This window comes from Homo sapiens, chromosome 14 (genome assembly GCF_000001405.40).
Source record: "Homo sapiens chromosome 14, GRCh38.p14 Primary Assembly".
NCBI lineage: Eukaryota > Metazoa > Chordata > Mammalia > Primates > Hominidae > Homo > Homo sapiens.
This window is the reverse complement of record NC_000014.9, coordinates 50,889,781-50,905,665: the sequence shown is the minus strand read 5'-3', so window position 1 is coordinate 50,905,665 and position 15,885 is coordinate 50,889,781. Positions and strand designations below refer to the sequence as shown.

At 41.4% G+C, this 15,885-nt stretch overlaps 2 protein-coding genes across 9 annotated transcripts in view, besides 2 other annotated features; one reads left to right on the top strand and one right to left on the bottom strand.

Moving 5' to 3' along the window:
• PYGL (glycogen phosphorylase L) overlaps positions 1-449 on the top strand; it is a 39,267-nt gene extending 38,818 nt beyond the window's left edge. For both annotated transcript variants that reach the window (NM_001163940.2, NM_002863.5), the window contains one exon: positions 110-449. In NM_001163940.2, the coding sequence (NP_001157412.1) occupies positions 110-274 (165 nt within the window). In that variant the 3' untranslated portion in view covers positions 275-449. The remainder of the gene's footprint in view (positions 1-109) is intronic.
• Positions 696-15,885, bottom strand: part of ABHD12B (abhydrolase domain containing 12B) — a 32,918-nt gene continuing 17,728 nt past the window's right edge. For 4 of the 7 annotated variants that reach the window (NM_001206673.2, NM_181533.4, NM_181814.2 and 1 more), the window contains 4 exons: positions 3,755-3,837; positions 2,199-2,277; positions 1,474-1,592; positions 696-1,327 (listed from right to left, as the gene is read on the bottom strand). In NM_001206673.2, the coding sequence (NP_001193602.1) occupies positions 1,300-1,327; positions 1,474-1,592; positions 2,199-2,277; positions 3,755-3,837 (309 nt within the window). In that variant the 3' untranslated portion in view covers positions 696-1,299. Of the gene's footprint in view, positions 1,328-1,473; positions 1,593-2,198; positions 2,278-3,754; positions 3,838-8,825; positions 12,454-15,885 lie in introns of those variants that run through there. The other 3 variants (XM_017021031.2, XM_006720052.2, XM_011536472.2) reach the window with 2 other exon arrangements.
• Positions 8,572-9,395: an enhancer, noted in NCBI's record as "OCT4-NANOG-H3K27ac hESC enhancer chr14:51362989-51363812 (GRCh37/hg19 assembly coordinates)". NCBI's record gives its function as "activates a minimal SCP1, AML or CMV promoter by ChIP-STARR-seq in naive H9 embryonic stem cells {active_cell/tissue: H9 hESC(naive)}" and the evidence as "EXISTENCE:reporter gene assay evidence [ECO:0000049][PMID:30033119]".
• Positions 11,864-12,686: an enhancer, noted in NCBI's record as "OCT4-NANOG-H3K27ac hESC enhancer chr14:51359698-51360520 (GRCh37/hg19 assembly coordinates)". NCBI's record gives its function as "activates a minimal SCP1, AML or CMV promoter by ChIP-STARR-seq in naive H9 embryonic stem cells {active_cell/tissue: H9 hESC(naive)}" and the evidence as "EXISTENCE:reporter gene assay evidence [ECO:0000049][PMID:30033119]".

The following is a 15,885-nucleotide window of genomic DNA, read 5'->3' as shown; positions in this document are numbered from 1 at the left end:
TCCTGTCATTTTCCCTCATGAAATGTGTTTGGATGTGCTTGGCTGATGTTTATTATAAAGCTCACTGCGCACTGGGACTCTGGGCTGTATATGCATATGTTGTTTACAGAATCCAAAGGCCTGGAACACAATGGTACTCAAAAACATAGCTGCCTCGGGGAAATTCTCCAGTGACCGAACAATTAAAGAATATGCCCAAAACATCTGGAACGTGGAACCTTCAGATCTAAAGATTTCTCTATCCAATGAATCTAACAAAGTCAATGGAAATTGAACTCTAGAATTGTCTCTAGAAAACATAGCTTCTTACTGAACTTGAACATTTTTACAACATTCACTGGTTTTTGTTTTGTTAGCTAATAATCTATAATAGTTGAGTATCTCTGGGAATGGGGAGGGAAATTATATGTAATAGAGCTTAAAAATAAAGTGTCAATTTCCAAGGGCTACATGAGTGCCAAAACTTATTTTATAGCAAATCTAGTGATGCTTTGCTACTGCTAGGATTTACCCCAAAACTAGTCATAAAATTAGAAAACTGCTTAGAACTTTCAAATGCCATTTAAATGAACTAAACTAAAATACAAAAAACTTAACTATGTAGAAGCAACTTTCTTACACTGCTATCTGAGTCCAAACCAAAGACCAATGTCTTAGTCCCTGTGGGCCACTAAAACAAAATGGCATAAACTGGGTAGCTTATAAACAACAGAAATTTATTTCTCACAGTTCTGGGGGCTGGGAAGTCCAAGAGCAAGGCACTGGCTGATTCAGTGTCTGATGAGGGCTACTTTGTGGTTCATAGATGAAGGCTTCTCACTGTATCCTCAAATGGTAGGAGGAGTGAAGAGCTCTTTTGGTCATAATTTATAAGGGCACTAATCTCATTCATCAGAGCTCAGTCCCACCTCCTATTACCATCACACTGGTGATTAGGTTTCAGCATAATTTGGGGGGGCAGGCCCAGATATTCGGACCATAGCAACTACCTTATTCACAAATATCCACAGAATGTTTAATAACTACATATTTTTAGATAGGATCTAGATTTTACCAAATTCTGGTTCTCCACAGTGAGGTTTCAGCATGTTTTACAAAGTAGATTATGATAAGCTAAATAAGAACATTCCATACTGCCTAACATTCGTACTTTCTGTTGTTAAAATGGCAAGTGATTTGTAGAGAAGTCAATGGCCTCAGCTCATCCGACCAGCCCAGTACAATTTTACATTAGAACAATATACATCACAGGTGGTGTTTGGGCCAAGTCTTCATTGAAGATTTCCACTCCTCCCAGACTCATGACCACTGCTTGCTCAGGAAATCTCTGTAGAAAAAGGACCCAGATCAGCTCACACCCTTTCCCTACCTAAATAAGCAAAATATTATACATTTTCATGTTGTGGCCTAAGTAAGCCAGAGCAGCCCTAATTGCCTTGAAGGGCAACATACATTTAGCAAAGCAACTCTTACCTCACGGTTATTAACAGTGTGGGGCTTTTACAAAGCAGGTTGTGTTGGAAGCCAGGAGGAAAGATAACCATCTTGACCCTCTCTTTGTTCCTGTATGCATTGCGTGCAATTTCATAGAGCTGCAAGCGACAGAAAGAGACTCAAAGGATGGCCATTCAAAGCTGTAGATTTTTCTAGTCCAATTTCCCTAAAAGTGTACAGAAACAGCTAACTTGGGGAGTTTGTTCCATTAAGTCAGAGACAGAAAACTCTCCATGTCCCAGTTGCCTGTCTCTACAGCTAAAGATCTGAATGCTGCTCAGCTAATATAGAATACTGATAAAACCTCATCCTTCCCTGCTTGAACCTCCCTGCAAAATGCCAAGGAATTGTTATGGACCCACTCTAGTAGAAGTTTGTTTAAAAGGAAAAAGTCTGCGTCTTCCATTTTAGAGCCACTACAGTAGAGACGACATGGAGGTTCCCACAGCAGCCTGGGATACCCTACACTTGCAGCTCCACACAATCCAGATGAGGAGCCAGGCTCTGCCACAAACACTCCTTTGAGCTAAGTAGCCAAGGATGCTGATACCCATTTTATAAACCTATAGAGGCTATTTAGGGGTGTAGAGAATCTCCTATAATGTCAGAGACCCTCCTTTCGGCTCTAATCAAAGTTTGGCTGAATGAAAAAAATGGTGAAATGAGTATAGTATATTTCAGTCAGCATTGAGCCCTTAGTTTACCTTTTTCCCATACTCCAAAGGCACTGTCCTGTCATCCTCTCCATGTAAGATGAGAAGAGGAGAAGAAAGGAATTTAACACTAGGGACAAGTAGAAGAAAAGCATTCAGTTAAAGAATGATACATTGAGATTTCTCCTCTTCTAAGTTAAAGCTTTAGCAAAACATGAGGCCTGTCTAAATTACAAGAAATTTCTTTCCTTCCTTCCAAGGAATAACAATATCATACATTTAAAAATTTCACATAGTAGCTTTTTTTCTCCATGCAAGTTTCCCTCTCTCCCATTTACTCATGCAATTTAACTGGCTGTTTAATTAATTTACTTCTGCATGATTTTTGGAAATACTAAAAAAAAAAAACAAAAAACACTGAAACACTGATTTTGTACAGTGTTAGAAGAACCTTATATTCTTCTTTACTCCACCTATTTTGTAACATCTGAAATATTTTATTAAAAGACTAAAAAAGAAAACAAAACTCAAAACCTCAATAAAACAAAAACTATGACAGAATCAGAGACCTCTTTGTAGCAATTTGTTTACTTTTCTCCATAAATGTAGAGGATGGACGTGCAGTTAACAGGTCTGATTAGCTTCCTGGTCAACCCCCTAGTTTGCTAATTCAAAAGGGCTATGGCATGAAGAATGTCTTGTCTCCCACTCTAGTTACTTTCTCAAGCAATGCTTCCCTGTCCCCCCAAAATTCTGATACCCATCCATCTCTGCCACAGTGACTCACTGACACCCCTGAGAATGTTGGATTTTCTCAAGTGTGTTGACATAGAAAAATATATTGACAACTGTCTATTTGGAAGCATTCTTAAATTCTCTAACTGTAACAGGCTAACTTGATAAATTCTAGTCATTGGATTTGCTGTCACATTAGTAAGGTGGATGGTAGACGAGTTTTCATTATATGGGGAAAAGGGCCTAGAAGTCAGAGATGCCTCAAGAAATGTTAGGCTGGTTTTTTGTTTGTTTGTTTGTTTTACAGGATGTCACTCTGTCACACAGGCTGGAGTGCAGTGGCACAATCACAGTTGACTGCAACCTCAACCTCCCAGGCTCAAGTGATCCTCCTACTTCAGCCTCACGTGTAGTTGGGATGACAGGCACGTGCCCCCACGCCTGGCTAATTTTAAAATTTTTTGGTAGAGATGGTGTCTCCCTGTGTTGCCCGGGCTGGTTTCAAACTTCTGGGCTCAAGCTATCCTCTCACTTCAGCCTCCCAAAGTGCTAGGATTATAGGCATACGCTAACACTACCAAGCCCTTTAAAAGGTCTTGATAGGCTATAGATATACAACTTCGTTTATGAATTCAGAGAGAGTACTGAATTGGTGAAGTCATTGAATTAGACATGAGGAAAATAGCAAATACTAAAAATTCATAGATACTTTACCCAAATCTTAGTGCCCATCTAAGAAGCGCAGAACAATATTCTAAGAATAAGAATGATATTCAGGATGTCTCATGTCACCATCCAGTAAGTCACATGATAGTTGCCCCTAGAATCCTTTAGATACAGTAATAATGCATGTCTTTTCATCATTAACTTACTTTTCATCATTAGGAAAGATTATTTTGTCTTTTCTCAGGGCATCCATAAGTGTACGTAAAAATCCTGGAATGTTCCGGTAAATCTATTTTTAAAAAAGAAAAAAAAATTAATATTTGCCCCATAGCTATGCCATCTGTTATATAGTCTTTCACTATGAACCAGGGTAACACAGAGAGTAGTGCTTCTCTAAGTAAGGTAAACTTCACAAAAAACTTCTACGATTTAAAAAGTAATGCACGTCGGGAATTTGGAAAAAAAGAAAGGAATGTAGAAGAAACAAAGCACACATAATTCTGCCATCATAGACCATCATTGTTAACATTTTGTTTTCACTTCCTAAAAATGGCACAACTAACTCTTACTTCTCCATGTAGAAGCAGTGGTATGCAAAACCTAAAATTGCTTCTATTGTGAACATAACTGGTTTAGTTGGTGGACAGAATATTCTGATTAGTCAAAAATTCTGATGAAAATATACAATACATAGAAAATTGATTTTAGAGAATTTGAACATTACAAACTTTTGAATATGATTTAATATGCCAATGCCTTAAAAGACATTTTAGTTTTTAACAATGACCACAGGATTCCAGATATAACAATGCTCACTCTAGACATACTAAATTTGTTGTTTAATAGCAAAATCCAAGAAATAGAATGCTAGCTAAATCCACTTTTACAATGTTTTGACTCACATAGTCAACATGTAAGTTAGTTTATATGCCCTAGAAATATCCGTTTTATCTGGAAATAAGGAGTAAAGGATAAAAATCCTGAGCAATATTGCACCTTTCTCACAAACTTTGAATCCTGCCTCCAAAACTATATCCTAAACCCATTCATTTCTCCCCATCCCCACTATCACTTAGCCTAAGCCACCCTTCATCTCTTGCTTATACTAAGCTGCAATTCCAAGTGGCTCCCCGATTCTGCCTTCACCCTTCCATAATCCAGTTCCCACAGGAAAACCAGAATGATTATTTTAACGTGCAAATCAGATCGTAGCACTCTTTCGCTTAACACCCTCCAAAGGCAATTGGATTAAACCTGAACATGTCACCTTGGCCTCCAAGGCCCTGAAGAATCCGGCGGCTTCCTGCCTCCCTCTCCAGCCTCATCTCCTATCACTAAGCACCTTCCTGTCCACCTCCTGGCTCTGCTGCCTTCTGCTTCTGGAACATGTCAGGCCTGATCCCACCTCAAGGCGCTTGCCTTTACTTTTACCCCAGCCTGAGATCTCTATATTTTCCCATCAGCTGGCTTCATCTCAGGCAGGTCTCAGCTCAGATGCTATTTCTTCGGAGCTGTTTTCCATAACCAGCTACCAAACCTTGCCCCCACCACCCAGTCATTCTCCATCACATTATTTTGGTGCTTTCACAGAACTTCTCACTATTGGATTTCTTTTTTAATGTATTTATCTTCTATCTGTTTCTCCATCAACAATATGAACTTCGTAGGTAAATGGACCACAACTTTCTTATTCCCTGTGGTGTCCTCAAAAACTAGAAAAGTTCCTGGTACATAATAGACACTTCATAAATATTTGCTAAAGACAAAATGAGTCTATTGTGCAAATATCCCTGGCGTACACTTTGTTATTATCTGTCATTTTCATTTAGTATGATTGAATTTCAGATATTACTTATTTTATTTATTTGTTTGTTTATTTTGAGACAGGGTCTCAGTCTGTTGCCTAGACTGGGAGTGGGTGCAGTGGCATGCTCATGGCTCACTGCAGCGCTCAAACTCCTGGGCTCAAGCAGTCCTCCCTCCTCAGCCTCCATAGTAGCTGGGACTACAGGGGTGTGCCACCACACCCAACTAATTTTTTTGTACAGAAGGGGTTTCACCATGTTTCCTAGACTGGTCTTGAACTCCTGGGCTCAAAGCCATCTTCTGGCCTTGACCACCCAAAGGGCTGGGATTACAGGCATGAGCCACAGTGCCTGGCCCAGATTTAAATTTTTTTTTTCTTTTTTTTTTTTTTAGACAGAGTCTCACTCTGTTGCCTAGGCTGGAGTGCAGTGGTGCAATCTTGGCTCACTGCAACGTCTGCCTCCTGGGTTCAAGCAATTCTCCTGCCTCAGCCACCCAAGTAGCTGGGACTACAGGCATGCATCACCACGCCCAGGTAATTTTGTATTTTTAGTAGAGATGGTGTTTCGCCATGTTGGCTAGGCTGGTCTCGAACTCTGACCTCAAATGATCCGCCTGCCTCAGCCTCCCAAAGTGCTGGGATTACAAATCTTTGCAATAAATTTGCAAAGAGGAAAAATAAGCAAAGTATTATACATTTTCGTGTTGTGCCTGAGAGAGGAGGGGTAGAGGGGGTAGTAAATGGGACATGGCCAAGAGAAGGAAATAGGCACAGAATAGGGAGGTTGGACCCAATAAATACAAACTTCTGCTTCACAATTTTTTAAAAAGAAAAAGAAATTAAAACTTGCCCCATGGCTATAATGTCATTTGTTAATAGTCTCCTACTATGAACTGTAATAATAGAATAGAGACTTTCTAAATAGAATAAACTTAAATACAATTTTTCTGATTTTAGAAAGTAATTGATGTCATTTTAGGGAATGTGGTAAGGAAATGGGTATAAAATAGGTAAGCCAGTGCCACTAAATACAAATTGCTGCTTCATAGTTCTGGCTTAGGCCTGCTATTCCCCCAGGAATCTCCTTGGTTTTTGGTTTTATTTTGTTTTGTTTTTTTGAGACGGAGTGTCATTCTTGTTGGCCAGGCTGGAGTGCAGTGGCACGATCTCGGTTCACCGCACCTCCGCCTCCCGGGTTCAAGTGATTTTCCTGCCTCAACCTCCCGAGTAGCTGGGATTACAGGCACCTGCCACCATGCCCAGCTAATTTTTGTATTTTTAGTAGAGACAGGGTCTCGCCATGTTGGCCAGGCTGGTCTTGAACTCCTGACCTCAGGTGATCCACCCGTCTCGGCCTCCCAAAGTGCTGGGATTACAGGCGCCAGCCACCGTGCCCAGCTGGAATCTCCTTGGTTCTGTGGGATTTGTCTGGCCTGAACTTTTTGGCCTGGTCTCATAGCAACTGATCTGCATTCAGGTGTGCTCTGGACTTCCTGACACAGCCTTTCCTTCTCTTTCTTCTCCCTCCTCTTCCATGCTAAGGGCAAGATTTCTTGTTTTGTTTTCTCTTTTGTCTTCTGGTACTCTCACCCCTGGAATTAAGACTCCCCTGAGGAGAATTCAGTAAGAGAAGTCCTTCAGCAATTCATCTCAAATTCTGAAAGAGTAGGAAGAAAGCAAGCCCCGGTCAATCTACTCTCATTATTCCTCATTCCCTTCCAGCCAGGAGTGCCCTTTGAGACTCACAGGTCATACCTTCCCCTCCAGCCTAGACCATGGCAATGGGCTCTCCTAATTGGTCTTCCTACCTTCCTCTCTCTTCTGTAACACCACCAGATAAACATCCTTAAAATACCAGTTATATTAAATCTGCTGTTACGAAGCTTTGGGCATGCCACACTATCTACTGAAAACAACAACTAGACAGCAAGCCCATGCACATCTGGCCACAATCTTTCATTCCAAACCCTGCTCACCTCCAGTCTATCTGCCTGCAATTAGAAGATGTAGGTTTGAGTCTCATTTCTTCTTCTTATAAGATATGTGACAATTAGGCAAACCTATAGGTCTCCATTTCTCTCATCTCTAAGTGGAAGCAATGATGACAAACTCAGAGAGTTGCTGTGAGGATTTAAAAGAATAACGAGTGCGAAAGACTTGTGTGGAAGTCCTCTATTAACTCTCAGGCAGTTTATAACGTAGAACAGCCCCATTCCTGCCAGGGGTCTGAGTTAACATTCACCTGTTCCTCGCTCTGTTTCCTAACTGCTTTCCCTCACCTTCAAGAAAGAAGCTTAGGTCCAATAGGCTCTGAAGTCTTCATTGGCCACACCTGTGAGCAAAGCCTCTCTCTTCAGTAATTCTCCCTGCCTTGAATTCTCCCTGCCTTTTCCTGCCATACATAACACTTTAGCCTAATTTGTAACAGAAAGAGGGACGGAAAGGAACAAGTATTTGTCTAGTGCTTACTAGCAGCTGGGTACTTTACATACATTATCTTACTTAATTCAGTCTTCACAACAACCCTGTGCAGTGGTCTTCGCCAACCCCTTGGTAAAAAAATGGGAAAACTTAGGGAGAAACAATTTACCAAGGTCACAAAGGGTATGTGGCCAAGGACAGATTTGAACCCAAGTCTGAGTGGCTCCACAGCCCATACTCTTTTCCACAACATCATGCTGCCTTTCAATTCTGAGTAACAAAACTGATTCCAAAGAGACCCGTAGAAATCCCTGTTAACTTTATACCTCCTATTTATGTCCTGTTGAGATCAAGTGATAGAAAAACCTATACCATGCAAACACTAATCAAAACAAAGATATACAAATATTGGACAAAGTTGACTTTAAGTCAAGAAGCAATATTGATCACAAAAAAGGTGGACATTTTATGATGAAAATGATAAATCCACCTGGAAGATATGAAAACTAAATCATAGGCTGGGAATGGTGGCTCATGCCTGTAATCCCAGCAGTTTGGGAGGCTGAGGCAGGTGGATCACCTGAGGTCAAGAGTTTAAGACTAGCCTGATCAACATGGTAAAACCCTGTCTCTACTAAAAATGCAAAAAATTAACCAGGTGTGTTGGCACATGCCTGTAATCCCAGCTACTTGGGAGGGTGGGGCAGGAGAATAGCTTGAACTCAGGAGGCAGAGGTTGCCATGAGCTGAGATCACGCCACTGCACTCCAGTCTGGGTGACAAGAGTGAAACTCCATCTCAAAAAAAAAAAAAAAAAACTAAACTAAATCATAATATTATTAGGCTTATGTACCTAACAACATAACCTCAAAAAAACTAAAACAAAAATTAACAGTACTAAAATAGAAATAAACCATTCCACAATCATGATGAGGTACTTTAATAATCCTCTTTGAGTAACTGAAAAAGCAAGCAGTCCAAAAAACCAGTAACAATAGACAAAATTTTTTCATGCGCGTCTGTGTGAAGAGACCACCAAACAGGCTTTGTGTGAGCAACATGGCTGTTTATTTCACCTGGGTGCAGGCGGGCTGAGTCCGCAAAGAGAGTCAGCCAAGGGAGATAGGGGTGGGGCCGTTTTATAGGATTTGGGAAGGTAATGGAAAATTACAGTCAAAGGGGGTTGCTCTCTGGTGGGCAGGGGCGGGGGTCACAAGGTGCTCAGTGGGGGAGCTTCTGAGCCAGGAGAAGGAAATTCGCAGGGTTAATCACTCAGTTAAGGTGGGGCAGCTTCTGAGCCAGGAGAAGGAAATTCACAGGGTTAATCACTCAGTTAAGGTGGGGCAGGAACAAATCACAATGGTGGAATGTCATCAGTTAAGGCAGGGCAGGGCCTTTTCACTTCTTTTGTGATTCTTCAGTTACTTCAGGCCATCTGGGCGTATATGTGCAAGTCACAGGGGATGCGATGGCTTGGCTTGGGCTCAGAGGCCTGACATTCCTGCCTTCTTATATTAATAAGAAAAATAAAACAAAATAGTGTTGAAGTGTTGGAGCGGTGAAAATTTTTGGGGGGTGGTATGGAGGGAGAATGGGCGATGTTTCTCAGGGCTGACAGGTAAAACGGGGGAATTGTAAGGAGAGTTTATAGGCTTTAAAAGGCCATGCTGTAGCAGGTGAGTGATAACAGGCTTTAATCTTTTTAAAGCATGCTGCAGGACGGGATATTGGCGTTGAGTGGGGTAAGGGTGATTAGGTTTTAATGAGATGGTAAGGGGTGCATGATCGGTCACCAAGGAGGGAGTAGAGGTATCTTATACTTGTGGGTTAAGGTCGGGGGATACAAGAGGAGGACGCAAAGGAGGCTTTGGATTGGGAAGAAGGGCGGCAATGAGATATAGCTGTAGTCCAGGAATAGTCAGGGAAGCAGATAATTTAGTTAAAGTGTCTCAGCCTAATACGGGAACTGGGCAGGTGGGGATAACTAAAAAGGAGTGCTTAAAAGAGTATTGTCTAAGTTGGCACCAGAGTTGGGGAGTTTTAAGAGGTTTAGAAGCCTGACCGTCAATACCCACAACAGTTATGGAGGCAAGGGAAACAGGCCCTTGAAAAGAAGGTAATGGGGAGTGAGTAGCCTCCGTATTGATTAAGAAGGGGACGGGCCTACCTTGCACTGTGAGAGTTACCGGAAGCTCGGCGTCTGTGATGGTCTAGGGGGCTTCCGAGGCGATCGGGCAGTGTCAGTCTTCAGCCGCTAAGCCGAGAAGATCTGGGAAGGAGTCAGTCAGAGAGCCTTGGGCCAGAGTTCCAGGGGCTCTGGGAGTGGCTGCCAGGTGAGTTGAACAGTCCGATTTTCAGTGGGGTCCCAGAGAGATGGGACGCGGCTTAGGAGGAATCCCGGGCTGCGGGCATTCCTTGGCCCAGTGGCCAGATTTCCGGCACGTGTAGCAAGCTCCTGTGGGAGGAGGTTCTGGAGGAACGCCTGGCTGCTGCGGTTCAGGCGTTTGGAAGTTCTTGTGTGCTGGAGATGTGGCTGGGGTTTGTCTCACAGTGGAGGCAAGGAATTGCAACTTTTTTCTATTATTGTACACCTTGAAGGCGAGGTTAATTAAATCCTGTTGTGGGGTTTGAGGGCCGGAATCTAATTTTTGGAGTTTTATTTAATGTCGGGAGCAGATTGGCTAATAAAATGTATTTTGAGAATAAGATGGCCTTTTGACCTTTTAGGGTCTAGGGCTGTAAAGTGTCTCAGGGTTGCTGCCAAACACGTCATGAACTGGGCTGGATTTTTATATTTGATGAAAAAGAGCCTAAATGCTATCTGATTTGGGATAAAGAAAAAGGAGCATTAACCTTGACTATGCCTTTAGCTCCAGCCACCTTTTTAAGAGTAAATTGCTGGGCAGGTGGGGGAGGGCTAGTCACGGAACGAAACTGTAAGCAGGACCAGGTGTGAGGAGGGGAGGCGATAAAAAGATTATAGGGTGGAGGAGCAGAGGCTGAGGAAGAATTGAGGCCTAGCTCGGCCTGGCGAGGAGGGGAGAGGTCAGACGGGTCTGTAGAAAAGGAAGATTAGAAAGACTCAGCGACGCTTGGGGTTGGGACTGGGGGGACAGGCGGGAGGGAAAGAAGGAAGATTTGGGACGAGTTGCACTGGGCACAGAGACTAGGAAGGGACTGATGTGTAAAAGAATGCCTGGACGTCAGGCACCTCAGACCGTTTGCCTATTTTACAACAAGAATTATTTAGATCTTGCAGGATGGAAAAATTCAAAGTGCCATTTTCTGGCTATTTGGAACTACTGTCGGTTTGTATTGGGGTCAAGCGGCATTGCAGAAGAAAATAAGTCATTTAGATTTTAGGTCAGGTGTGAGTTGAAGAGGTTTTAAGTTTTTGAGAACACAGGCTAAGGGAGAAGAAGGAGGAATGGAAGGTGGAAGCTTGCCCATAGTGAAGGAGGCAAGCCCAGAGAAAAGAGTAGAGACATGGAGAAGGGGTGGGGGGGTTCTTGCCCTCCAGAAAAGCAGAGAAGGGGTTGGGGCACGGAAATAAGGGATTAGGGCACAGAGATAAGAGGTCAGGGTGCAGAAATAAGCGATTGGGGGTTTTTTGCCCCCTAGGAAAGCGGGACTTGCCGCTAAGGGTGAAGGAGAAGGGGTTGAGGGGTACTTGCCCCTGCCCCAGGAAAGCGGGACTTGCCACTAAGGATGAAGGAGAAGGGGTTGAGGGGTACTTGCCCCTCCCCCAGAAGAGCAGAGAAGGGGTAGAGACAAGGAGAGAAGGGGTTGGGGTACTTGCCCCTTCCCCAGAAAAGCGGGACTTGCCGCTAAGGGTGAAGGACCAAGGCAGGCGTCCCTGCGTGGTCTGACACCCTTGAAACGTGAGTGAATAATCAGAGAGGTGTCCCTGCAATGATTAAACACCAAGGGAAGGCTGCCTTCCCAGTCTGTGGCCAGCGCCGGAGTTTTGGGTCCACGGATAAAACGTGTCTCCTTTGTCTCTACCAGAAAATGAAAGGAATTGAAATTAAGAGAAGGGAGAGATTGAAGTGTGGTGCCAAGATTGAAAGGAGAAAGAGGTTGAGGGATAGTGAGGGAGGTTGGAGAAGAGAGTAAAAAGAGGCCGCTTACCGGATTTGAAATTGGTGAGATGTTTCTTGGGCTGGTCGGTCTGAGGACCTAAGGTCATAGGTGGATTTTTCTCATGGAGCAAAGAGCAGGAGGATGGGGGATTGATCTCCCAAGGGAGGTCCCCCGATCCGAGTCACGGCACCAAATTTCATGCGCGTCCGTGTGAAGAGACCACCAAACAGGCTTTGTGTGAGCAACATGGCTGTTTATTTCACCTGGGTGCAGGTGGGCTGAGTCCGAAAAGAGAGTCAGCCAAGGGAGATAGGGGTGGGGCTGTTTTATAGGATTTGGGAAGGTAATGGAAAATTACAGTCAAAGGGGGTTGTTCTCTGGTGGGCAGGGGTGGGGGTCACAAGGTGCTCAGTGGGGGAGCTTCTGAGCCAGGATGAGCCAGGAAAAGGACTTTCACAAGGTAGTGTCATCACTTAAGGCAAGGACCGGCCATTTATACTTCTTTTGTGGTGGAATGTCATCAGTTAAGGTGGGGCAGGGCATATTCACTTCTTTTGTGATTCTTCAGTTACTTCAGGCCATCTGGGCAGATACCTGCAAGTCACAGGGGATGCGATGGCTTGGCTTGGGCTCAGAGGCCTGACAAATTTAAGCATGGTTAATAATCCCGATTCAATCGACGTACATAGAACACTGCATGAAAAACAGCAGAACACATTCTTTTCAAGCATATGGAAAATTTGCCAAAATTGACCATACATTGGTACACAAAGTGAGTCTCAACAAATTTCAAAAGACTAAAATCATACACAGTATATTCTTGGATCTTGAGAGATTTAAGGTAAAAATCAATAAAAATCATAATCAAATGCCCAAATGCATAGAAGTTATGAATCATACTTCTAAATAATCCATATAGTCAAGGAGGAAATCACAATAATATTATAAAATATTTTGAACTAAATGATAATTAGAACACACTTCAAAATTTGGTTGCGGCTGAAGTGTGGTTTAGGTGAAGTATGCCTTAGTACATAAATTAGAAAAAAATAGTAAAAATAAATTATTAGATGGTATTAAGTACTATCTAAAGAAATTTTTAAATAACAACTTAAATCCAAAGAACATATGAGAAAGGGAATAATACAGGTAAAACCAGAAATTAAAAATATAGAAACCATATAACACAGAAGATAAAGTCAAAGCTGGTTCTTTGAAAAGACTGACAAAATTAATTAACTTCTGCTGTGAGTGTTGGCTGCTTCTCCTTATTCTTAGATGACAGAAGCCATCACTCCTAAGAGGTTACGCCATCCTCCCGCCCCTCCTCCACTGCCTACCTTAGCGGAGGGCAGAAACAACAGGCCCTTTGCTTCAAAGCTTAGCACCCCGCCTGAATCAGGCCAAAGCTAGACTTTGCCTGAGGTCACGTCCTTGTTCTGCTCTTCCCCCTTTCCAGTGCTACTACCCTCATTCCCTTTTGGATTTTTTCCTGAAGAACATTTCCTCAATAAATCAAACACACCAAATCTCTGTCTCAGGCTTTGCTTCTAGGAGAATATGACCTAAAACTGAAACTAAACAAAACCTAAATGAGAAATAAATGTAAAATTAAATAAATAAATAATAAATAAAACACAATACTCATGAATTTGAAGACTCAATGTTAGAAAGATACCAAGTCCCCCAAATTTATCTCAAGTCCCCCAAATAGATCCAATGCAATCCCAGAGTCCCAGCAAGTTTTCTGTAGAACATGACAAGTGTATTTCAAAATGTATACCGAAATGCAAAGCGTTAAGAATAGCCAAGACAATCCTGAATAAGAAGACAAAGCTGAGGAACTTATACAACCAGATATCAAGACATATTATAAAGCTATAGTAATTAAAAGACCATAGTATATTAAGATTGACAGATAGACAATGGAGAGAAATGAGAACCTACCACCAGACCTCTCTCTATATGTATAGACACTGATATATGCAAACATTAGCACTGCATAGTGGTGGGGAAGGTCCATTTAATAAATGACTCTAGACCAATTAGACACTCATGTGGACCCCTGCCTCCATACAAAAATCTAAACCTGTGGATTATAACTTTACATGTAAAAGGTAAAATAGAGTTTCCAGAAGACAACATAGAAGAGTATCTTGATAATCTTTGGGTAAGCAGAGTTTTATTATAAATGACATAAAAGTTACCATAAAGAAAAATATTGGTAAATTGGTCCACATTAAATTTAGAAATCTCTCTTTATCAGCTGGGCGCGGTGGCTCACGCCTGTAATCCCGGCACTTTGGGAGACCGAGGTGGGCGGATCACGAGGTCAGGAGATTGAGATCATCCTGCCTAACACGGTGAAACCCCGTCTCTACTAAAAACACAGAAAAATTAGCCAGGCATGGTGGCGGGCGCCTGTAGTCCCAGCTACTCGGGAGGCTGAGGCAGGAGAATGGCGTGAACCCGGGAAGCGGAGCTTGCAGTGAGCCGATATCACGCCACTGCACTCCAGCCTGGACGACAGAGCCAGACTCTACCTCAAAAAAAAAAGAAACGTCTCTTTATCATGACATATCATTAAGAAAGTGAAAAGACAAAACAAAATAATACAATATATTTACAATAAAAATAATGTTCTAATGACTCATATCCAGCATCTATGAAGAAATTCAACAAATAAAAAGAAATAAAATCTACCTGAAAAATGGGCAAAAGACATGAACCAGTACCTCACAAAAGATGATATCCAAATGGCTAATAAACATATTAAAAGTTGCCCAACCTCACTGGTTATAAGGGAAATGCAAATTACAACCATATTGATATATCAATATGAGGGCAAGGATTTGAAGCAACTGGAGCTCTCATACAGGATTGGTGAGAGAGTAAAGTGGTAAAGTCATTTAGGAAAACTTGCACTGTAATGATTAAAGCTGGCCATATGGATACCTTATTACCCCACAATTCTACTCCTAGGGTATACCCCGGTGAAATTCTTGTACATGTTTACAGAATACAGGTTCAAGAACATTCATAACAACAATATTGTTAATTTCCCCAAACTGAAAGTAATACAAATATAATAAACAACACAATAGATCAATAAATTTTGGTATGTACATACAATGGAATAGTATATGGCAATGAAAATAACCAACCTACAGCTATACTATGCACATCATGAATACAATCCCACAAATATAATGTTGGGTGAAAAAAATAAAATATATTCTATATAATTTTACTTTCATATAAAGTTCACAGACAAAACAATATTGCTCAGAGATGCATGTACAGGTGGTAACTCTATAAATAAATGCATAGACATGATTACCGTAAAATTCATCTAAGAATTCCATCTAAGGACTAAGGATTACATCTAAAATAAGGCTTACTGGATTGGGAAGTAATATACAGAAGACTTCTAGAGTGTGGGTGATGCTCATTTCTTGACGTAGGTAATAGTTACATGGGTGTTCAGTTTATAATTGCTCATTAAATCATGTATTTTCCTTATTTCGCTAAATTTCAACATTAACACATTTTTAAAAACAAACTAAATAAAAAGATTGTATTTGACTTATGTTACATACCTACAATTTAATGAATTTATTAGTAATGACTTAGAGTAATATGATAGATATGCAATTAATGGTTATATTATATTAAAATGAATGTTCAGTTTCTAGAACCAATTGAAAATATTTATTATATCTGAAATTACTCAGCATTCAGTATTTTGCAGTGTAGAGGGGATTCCTATATTTAGTTAAACTTAGATATTAAAGCCATTTTCAAGAGTATGTGATTATGTGAACTCGCTGTCCTAGAAAGTGGTGAGCTACTTTTCCCTGAAAATAGTTAAGTAAGTTTCAGAAATTCTGTCTATGATGGAATTCTATCTATGATGGCTTATTGTACAAAAAAATTCCTAAAGTTGTTAGAGTAACATACTCCAAGATGTCTTACAGTATGAAACAACAATGTAGAATAATTATTAAATTGAGGCCATGTATCCCT